We start from the raw sequence: 9,276 nt of genomic DNA, 5'->3' as shown, positions 1-9,276 counted from the left end.
AAGTGGCTGCTTCTCCTTTTTTTGCCTCTCTCCTCCTCTGCTCTTCTGGAGTCACCCCACCACTCGCACCTCACCTCCTAATCTAAAGTTCTCTTTAGAAGGGGGTGGAGGGGAGAACAGGAATGGGAATGGTGCCTCCGCTTTGTAGCTTCTGAAAATAGAAAGCCACCTTCCTTCTGACATGCAATGTCTTTTAAGACAATCACAAGAGGACCCTAACACTAAAGCCCACCAGAAATTGAAGAGGGAGGGAGGCCTGGGGACAGGGGGCTTTTATTGAATGAAATCATTGGCACTTTGCCATGAAGGTAGATACAGCAACCTGGGATGGAGACCAGCAAGATGGGCTAGAATTGAGGATGTGTGTTTGGCAGGAGGGGGTGAGATGTTGGGGGAGAGGAAGAGGCAGCACCCCAGGCCACCTCTGTTCTCCAAAGACTTTATCAAGCCCACTCCAGGGCTCCCTCCCCCGACCATGGCTAGCAGTGGAGTCTGGACCAGTGGAGAATGATTTAACCAGCTCTCCAATAGAGATCATAAAATTCAGCCTGTACTGGGCTTGCAGCTTCTTTATTATGCTAAATGGACAAGGGCAGCCAGGGCAGACTTTAAACTCTTTCCCCTGGTGGTCCCAGGCTGGGTTTCAGTGCAGGGGATGATGGGTGTTCAGAAGGGCCGGGCTGGGCAAAGATTCTCCATAGCCATCCAGGAGTTTGGCTTACTCAATTATCTTCATATGCATCTTTTTTAAAAGTTGGACGAGAAGTGTGGACTTAGAAGGACCATTGAATACCTGTCACTCAAACTGCCCTCACATGATCCTTCCAGTGCCAGGCCGTGTTTGCCGGCCAGAGATGCCCAGGGCCAGAGGCTCCCCAGCCTGGCTCTGCCACAAGGAGAGCAGCCCCTGCACCCAGCGCAGCTCGGGCCTCCCTGACGCCAAAGAAGACTCTGAAATGATACGTTTGTTCTGCCTTTACTGCTGCATTTTTTTTAAAAAAAAGAATTGCTACACTAGAATGAATGGATTATGAGTAAATAAAAAGAAGCTGTCAGTCTCTTTGAAGGTTGTGCTTAAAGGGACTTGCCAAGTCAGGACAGAGAGTGACAAGATAGAGACCCTGGTGTTTTGCATGCTCAGCTCGGTTCTTCCGCTTCATCTGCACCGCACTAAAGGTTGTGTTGAGGCATTGAATCGCAAAAAAAAGTGGCACGCAAAATAAAAGGTGCCACATCACAATGATTGCAGTGTTTTAACTGCGAGTGCCACACTGCCCAATCCAACAGAAACGCAGGTCTACACAGCCGAAGAAAACGGTACAATACTTCCATAACTTATAATTAAGTTGAAGTCGGCCAAACATTTGACTTTCTAATGAGTGTAATGAGATTACATGCCTGATGGAAGCATTTGTGCAAAAGCAACTTTCGTGTTTAATGAGGCCCTAATAAAGGACAAAATCGAATTATTTTCTCTCGTTCTGAAATTCTGTCTCCAGTGTGAAATCTTCTTTTAGGAGGAGTGGAGGGAGAGGGCGCGAAGGCTTAAAAGGGGTGAGAGGGTCCACGGCCAAGGGGCTCCCGGGAGCCTTGCGACCCAGAATCTCCGCGTGTCTGGCCAGGCCGCGCTGCGGGGTCGGGCTCGCGGCCTCGCTTTAATTGCTCTTGGACGAGGTCCATGGCACCCGCGGCGCGCGGGGAACCCCTCGGTGGGTCTGAAACTAGGTTAAAGCAATTAGCATGCTGCCAACATATTGTCCTGCGGCAGGGCCGTGAGTATTAGAGGCTATCCGCAATTGTACCTTCGCCCACCAGGCCGCTGCGGCCCACGGAACCACACCCCGCCTGGGCCAGGCCTGCGCCGCACGGGGCTACGGTGCCACGTCAATGAGCGCGTCTCCAGTCCGCGCTCGCGCCAACGCCATCTGCGCGCGCGCCAGGCCTCAGGGCCCAGTGCCGGCGCCCCGGCTCTGGCGGGCAGGGGAGGACGCCCCGAGAGCCCGGGAGGCGCTCTTGGCCACAAAGGAGACAAACCCAAGCCTGGACTCCCAGGCTTTCTGGCTAAGCGACCTCGGCCGCGCCCTCGCTCTTCTCCCCTTCGCTAGGGGGCTACCCTACGCCCCCCGCCTCAGGCTCGCCTTCTCCCCAGGTTGCTGGCCGAGGAGGGCCAAGTTCTGATGAAGGCAAAACGAACTCAGTTTTGGAAGTAAGCCTGTTGCGAAGGTGGCAGGGGTAGCGGGCGGCTTCTTCCTACCTTACCTAAAAGACCCTGGATTTTGTTGAGTGGCCTCCGAGTGGTCTCTAGGCTTTGGCACCGTAGCCTGTCCCATCTCCTTTGTGAGGAGTAAGCCTGAGTTCCAGGTACCTGATGCTGTTGCTGCCGAAGAGGTTGGTCACAGGGCAGCTCAAGAGTAGCCCCTTTCCCAGCCAGTGGAAGCAGAAAGGCCCATTCGCTTAGCCCACTAGCTCCCTGCTCCCACAGTGCACCGCGCGCTCACTTTTATACACCAGGAATAGACAACGTAGGGGTGACCTTGGGTAAGTCAAATGTCATCTCTGAGCCTTAACTTTACCATCTGCAAAATGGGAACAATAAATACTCCAGGATGTATTTGCATAGGGTGTTTGGAAGGTGGCCCAAAATACAGACAAAAGTTGCTGTGTAGGGCAGGCGACCTAGATGAAGTGCTGTCATAGAAAGTTGAGGTCTAATCCTCTAACCTACCCACCTTTAGGCTAAGTCTGAAATGTAGTTTCTTACTAAAAAGCTACACTTTGAGTCTCTGGTTTGGTTAATTTTTACTAAGTTAATTCTTTTTAAAGAGTATCTATCAAATCATGTACTCAAAAACCTTCAGGAAAAGGTGTAAATAGCATTTATTGACAACGCTTAGAAATAAACCATATCTGGCAATAAATAAGCAGGACGTTTTCTGGCCAGAGTTCTCCCAACAACACAGAGTTCAGGAAAATCATAGGCTATTGCATATTTTCAGAAAATCAGGATAAGTTATATAAATTATATATTTAAAAAGAAATCATCTATTTCATCAACTCAACAGGATAATAAATAGATAAATAATAAACAGTTGATTGCCATTCGAAAAATTTGATTCTTAAATTACATTTACATTATAGATATTTACATGTACAATATGCACAGAGACATAATCAGATCTTCAGCCGAGTCTGGGACTTCTCAGGACACAAACTCAAATGGTGGTTCGTTTTCTATGTTGTTGAAGGAAGATTTGCTGTTGAGTTTTCTGGGGTCCTCTGGGGTCCAGACTTTGGCTGTTCGGATAATATTTTGTTCCTTGAGTTGTTTTTCATCAGTCCATGAGAGAGAGTGTCCTGCTAGGGGAGGGAGGCCATAATCAGGGTCGCTGGGGGAGGGGGACCCTGGACAGGTGAGAAGAGAAAACAGACTGTGAATATCCAACCACATTCCCATTGGTCCCATCAGGTCCTTTAGGACCCTTTCCTGGGTGCTCTCCGGTTATACTAGAACCACCCTCTTCCTCCACACTTCAAGTCCCCACCGTCCCCTCCCAGGAATCCGAGGAGCTGCAAGTCTGGCGGGGACGCGCGCCCTTGAGAGCCGCGGTCAACGTGGCAGAAAAATAAAAAAAAAAAAAAAAACGAGAAACGCGAGCTCGCATTCAAGTTTTTCCGTGCCCACCGACAATCCGTCGGTCCGACTGTCTGCTTGGCAGTCAGCTCCCCCAGCCCCTCCGGAGCCTTCGAGTGCCCGACCCCTTCTCCCTGAGCTGGGAAGCGGAAGCACTTACGGGTGCCCCGATGGCAGATGATGACCTTCTGGGCCTGGCTGCCCGGGCTGTCCCCGCCCAGGCGCCCGCCGCCGCCCGGCCCCCCGCAGCCGCCCGCGCCACCGCCGCGCAAGGGCAGGTCGGCCTGCACGAGCTCGCTGAGGAAGTTGATGTAGCCGATGGCCAGGCGCAGCGTGTCCACCTTGGAGAGGCGCTTCTCGTAGGGCAGCGTGGGGATGTGCGAGCGCAGCCCCTCGAAGGCGTCGTTGATGGACTGCATGCGCCGCCGCTCGCGCACGTTGGCCGCCTGCCGCAGCTGCTGCAGCTCCGCCTCGGAGCGCACCCGCCGCCGGCGCCGCGCCGCCGCAGCCGCCGCTCCGCTCAGGCCGCGCAGCCGCGCCCCGGGAGACAGTACTGCCGCCCCGGCGCACGGGTAGGCCAGGCACGAGGGCGGCGAGCCGGGCGAGTAGGGGAAGCCGCCTGGGGGCGCCCCCGTCTCGCAGCAGTAGCCGCCGCCGCCGCCGTCGTCTGGCTCACCGAGGCCCCCCGAGGACGGCGGGGCGAGCGCTAGCGGGGCGGCCGGGGGCGCGGGCTGCAGCAGCAGGCACGCCCCGTCGCGGTAGCAGTACTCGTGGAGCTGGTGGCTAAGGAACTCCACCTCGGCCTGCTCGTCCGCCAGCAGCTCATCGCCGTCCTCCAGGGGGTCCCGTGAAGACTGGTCGGTGAAGAAGTCGTCCTCGTCGAAGTACGAAGAAGGAAAGGCGTCTAGGCCCCCGGGGAAGTGCTCCAGCAACACCGCGTCCATGCTCGCCGCCGCAGTGGGCAGCGGGACTGCCGGGCTGCGCGTGTTAGTTCTTGGTGAGTTTCTAAGGCCCGTCCGAGCCCCTCCCTCCCGGGGCCCTGGCTGGGGGCAGCTAGGCGGCCGCCGGGCTGCCCGCCCCCGGGCCTCCCTGGAGTGCCCGCGGCCGCTGCGCTCTGGCCCGCGCTCGCGCTGCGCTGGGGAGGGCTGTGGCGGACTTCCTGGAGCTGAGGGCCGGCACGCGAGGATTCTTATAACAACATCCATAGGCGCGTGCCAGGGACCCATCGCGCCAGCCAATCAGAGCGCGGTGTGCCGGCGGCGAGGGGGCCCGGAGGCGCGGCGGTGGGCGGGGGTGGGGGGCGTTTTGCTCCCTTTGGGAGCTCCTGGGGCGAGGAAAAGGCGGGGTCGCGCGGCCCGGGGCTCCTCGCACCGCTCTCTTCCCTCTCCTCTGCCTCTGCATACTGGATTCTGTACCTGCCCCGCGTGCGGCTCCAGGGGCACCTGCGTCCCGCGGTGCCCGCTGCGTACCCGCGCGCGCTGAGCAGCGCCGGCTCCTTCCGCCCTGGGACTGGGGCAGCCGCGCGCCGCGTCTACACGCGGCCAGAGAAGTTCCTAGGGGTGCGCGCCGGTGGCCCAGACGGCGAGAGCGGAGCCCGCGCGGCGATCGTCCTCCTCCGCGGCAGCCTGGGCAATCTAAGGGTGCTGCCCTCAGGGACCAGGTGGGTGCATTCCGCCACCCCCTTATCCGAGGTGCGCGGGGCTCCGGCCTGGGTTCTGCTGGGGGCTTCTGTCCCATCTCTGGACTTTTCAAGGGCTTTTGCACAGTTTGCAGAGTATATGCGGGTGTCATTGGAAGGTGATCCGGGCCCACTCCCACTGCGTTCCAGACGCAACACGGGGGCTGGGAGCGCACCTATGGGACTCCGCTCTGGAGCCTGGCTGTGGTGCCTGGTGCGGGTCCCCAGCGACATCGGCTCAGTGGCTGCCTCCCCTGCCCTCCCCGGCCCGGAGAAAGGAATGGGGAGACGGGAGGGGCAGCCCCCAGAGCAGCTCAGCGGGGCGCGTTTCTTCTGAGAGCAAATCTAGACCCTAGGGATTCTGAGCAATAAACTGGATACAAAAGGAGTCCATTGAATCGTCTGCTCCGGCGCAGTCCGGAGGGAAGGCATTGAAGTTAAAGGGCAGAATGTGAATCGTTTTCAAAGCCCGAGTCTCTCACCTTTCCGACTGGCCACAGGGACCATCCCTGAATGACTTGTTTTTTTCTTTCTCGACCTTTCTTTTCTGAAAAAAAAAAAAAACACAAAACGTATGCAGCTCTGCCCCAAGACAGACTTTATCACAGACTGCGATGCAACGTGAATTCCTCTTTTTAAGAGCAACAAAGAAACACTTTCAAGGTCTGGGCAATTCCGGTTAAAAGCCAGGCTGCAGCTTCCACCCCGGGAGAGTTCAGAAGCGCAGCCATCGTGCGTATTCTCTCTACAGAGGACTGAAAGGAGTCGTCCTCCTGGGCCGCTTCCTTTTTCAGGCACTTGTCTCACTAGAGGCTTCTGTTGGGTATTCAGACGCCTCTCAAATTCCAAGTCATGCCTCTTCAGATTAGTGATTTAAATACGCTTCTTGGTTTTAGACATTGCACTGTAATTAACTGAATTGAGAACAAAGAGTTAAACCAAAAGATATATAAGGTTAGAAGGCCAGAGATTGCCTTACCTTGAACTGCCAACAACCCCAAACAATTTTAACCCAAGGACTGACTGGTTTTCAGTAGTTTTTTCCTGTGTTAGTTTCTCAGCCTTCACAGTGAAGGAGTCGTTCACTATTTGCATATCCTTAAAGGCAAATATGGACAGTTTCCCGGTGATAGAGCCTGAGCTGTGATTCTCTGCAATTAGATTTCTCTTTCTGACCTCAAAGGAAGGGAAGGGGTGTGTGTGTGTGTGTGTGTGTGTGTGTGTGTGTGTGTGTATCAAGGCCAGAGATCTAGCCAGCTAGTGATGTGCACCCTCCCCTTCCTCACGTAGACTAAAACTAAGTGGAAACATGCCCGTGCCCGTGGGTCAATGTGAAGACATGCAAGAGTAGCAAATTACCCAGCTTCAAAGCCTTATCGGAAATATTGACAACTATCCACTGCAGAGAAGACTAGAATTGAGCCTACAAAGTCTCTTTTCAAGAGGCTGAAAGGCTTTCTCTGGTGGCTCTCTAGACTGGTGGCTCTTGAGAAACTGTGTGTCATAGACATGTGGGTAGGTGGAGGACTGGGAGACAGGGGAGTGAGTGTGAATATATGGGTATCTTTTTTTTTCTTTTTTTGGGGGGAGGGTGGGGGTTGGGGGATAAAGTCTTGCTCTGTCGCCCAAGCTGTAGTGCAGTGGCACGATCTCAGCTCATGGCAACCTCCACCCCTCAGGTTCAAGCGATTCTCCTGCCTTGGCCTCCCGAGTAGCTGGGATTACAGGTGCCCGCCACTACGCCTGGCTAATTTTTGTATTTTTAGTAGAAACAGGGTTTCACCACGTTGGCCAGGCTGGTCTGGAACTCCTGACCTCGAGTGATCCACCCACCTTGGCCTCCCAAAGTGCTGGGATTACAGGAATGAGCCACCGTGCCCGGCTATATATGGGTATCTTTTTATTCAATATGATTTTAGCAATCCACTTCCACAGAAAATCATCTGACATTTTTGATGAGTTTGCAGAAGAGTTACAGAGAAATTCACGTTGAGCACCCAGTGAGCTCATGGGAAATTCATTGCTGCTAGCAAGCTTATTGTCTTATGAAGGGGGCAGAACTAGCCTGCAGGCTCTGGGTGGCTCCTAGGGGTGCATGAATGAGCATGGGATAGGAGGAACAGAAAACGTACTCACTTGTTTCAGACATAGCCCTTCCTACCCTTCCTCCTCCTCCTCCTCCCTCCACTGCCCTCGAAGTTTTTAAAGAATTGCTAGCTGTGTGCATACTGGCCTTGTTGAGAATCTAGGACAAGGCCTACAGACAGTGACACTGTGTCACACACACACACACACACACACACACACACAGGCTTTAAGTAAGACATGATCATTCTTTTCTCTTATAAAAAGAAGAAAGACTTCTCCGCTAATAAAGGAAATTTTCTCTGGGTCACTAGGGGTCACAACCATGTGGATGGCTGCCCTCTGCCACTGGAAGCAACAGGTTGGATGAGAAGACTGAACCTTACCTTGCCAGGCTAGAGCCCCCACCCCACCCCGCTCTCATTCCAGTCATGCCTTCCACACCCCTGGATCCTCTGGGCAGTTGGGGAGCCTGGAGAGGGGCTTGGTCACAAGGCTCCAGGAGTCTCAGAGAGAGAGAGAGAGAGAGAGAGAGGGAGAGAGACAGAGAGAGAGAGCGTGAGCGAACTCAGGCTTCTCACCACACCCTCACCTTGTAAAGAGCTCTGCCTCATTATAGAGTCGTATCTCATCCCCGGTGGGGGGCAGCAGAAGGAGCACTTGGTTCTTTCTAGACCCAATCCCTGGTGAGACCTCAAGACTTTTTCAAGTCTTTCAGCACAGGCTCAGTGCCACCCTGTTGCCTTGGGCCTGGCAGATTCCCAGGCTTCCTTCCGGCTGCTAGTAGGTCTTGTCCCATCTCCTAGGTTCTCAGCTGCAGGAGAGCTTCTGGCCAGGGCCATTGATGTTGAGCCTTGGTCTCATCTCTTCTGTCTCTGCCTGTCTCTTGTTATTGTTTTTAGAGACAGGATGTCACTCTGTCACCCAGGCTGGAGTGCAGTAGTTCAGTCACAGCTCACTGCAGTCCTGAACTCCTGGGCTTAAGGGAGCCTCCTGCCTCAGCCCCCTCAGTAGCTGGGACCTCAGATATGAGCCACCATGCCACCATGCCATACTGCGCTCTCTTATGCTTTCTCTCTCTCTTTCTTTCTCTCTCTTCCAGCTATCTCTCCCCATCAGGAGTCTTGGGGACTTGAATATTTATTCATTTCTTTCTCATCAAACATTTCCAGAGTCTTTTCCCAGCTTCTAGGAACAATGACTAGAGGGTTAGAGCCCAGGTCCCTGGCTTGTCCAGGATGAACTTGGGGCAGAGGCCACTCATGAAGAATGGCACCTCCTGGCTCTCCATCATCAGCTTACCCATGGAACATTCTCATAGTGCATGATGCTGGGTGTGTATCCTCCCTGCAGGAACCTCACACTGCAGAAACCAGGATGCAGCTGTCTCACCCATAGTATCCTACACACCTCCTTAGTGCCTGAAAGCAGGTACTTATGGATGTGGCTCGCAGTCTGCTCCTAGCTTGAGAAAGGGTCCATGTTAATTCCTCATGGCCCAAACTGTTCCCTCCCCCATCTCAGAAATGCAGTGGTGATGGCAGGTGGGTGGTTTCTCCTCTCCTGTGTCCCTGTCACAACTCCTTATCTGAGATATCTTTCTTCTCCCCACTTGAGTGGCCAGGTACCCTCATTGGTCCACCCTTTATCCCTGTACTCTTAGGAAAAGATTTGGAAAATACACTCACAAGGTTCATGCTGAAAGGCCTCTGAGGCCCAGAGACGTTCAGAGGCTTCCCTAAGGTCACACAGAAAGTTAATGTCAGTTTTTTTTTAAATATAGGTTTTTCAAAAATAGAGACAAGGTCTGCCTGTATTGCCCAGGCTGGCCTCTAACTCCTGGCCTCAGGCGATTCTCCCACCTCAGCTTCCCAAAGTGCTA

The 9,276-nt window shown here is 54.2% G+C and overlaps 1 protein-coding gene across 1 annotated transcript, besides 1 other annotated feature; it reads right to left on the bottom strand.

Annotated features, from left to right (window-relative positions):
- Positions 1,150–1,905: an enhancer, noted in NCBI's record as "H3K27ac-H3K4me1 hESC enhancer chr10:23484130-23484885 (GRCh37/hg19 assembly coordinates)". NCBI's record gives its function as "activates a minimal SCP1, AML or CMV promoter by ChIP-STARR-seq in naive H9 embryonic stem cells {active_cell/tissue: H9 hESC(naive)}" and the evidence as "EXISTENCE:reporter gene assay evidence [ECO:0000049][PMID:30033119]".
- PTF1A (pancreas associated transcription factor 1a) lies at positions 2,861–4,794 on the bottom strand. Its single transcript, NM_178161.3, has 2 exons — positions 3,792–4,794; positions 2,861–3,402 (listed from the first exon to the last, which is right to left on the bottom strand). Exons 1-2 carry the CDS (start codon positions 4,573–4,575, stop codon positions 3,200–3,202), a joined length of 987 nt encoding a protein of 328 aa, NP_835455.1. The 5' UTR covers positions 4,576–4,794; the 3' UTR covers positions 2,861–3,199.

This window comes from Homo sapiens, chromosome 10 (assembly GCF_000001405.40).
Source record: "Homo sapiens chromosome 10, GRCh38.p14 Primary Assembly".
In the NCBI taxonomy this organism is placed as follows: Eukaryota; Metazoa; Chordata; class Mammalia; order Primates; family Hominidae; genus Homo; species Homo sapiens.
Note: the sequence above shows the minus strand (reverse complement) of the source record. Positions and strands in the feature narration are given on the sequence as shown.

Coding starts and splice junctions, on each gene's coding strand:
- PTF1A (NM_178161.3), bottom strand. CDS start 4,575: ATGGACGCGGTGTTGCTGGAGCACTTCCCCGGGGGCCTAGACGCCTTT. Junction 3,403..3,791: donor CATCTGCCATCGGGGCACCC/GTAAGTGCTTCC, acceptor TCACCTGTCCAG/GGTCCCCCTCCCCCAGCGAC.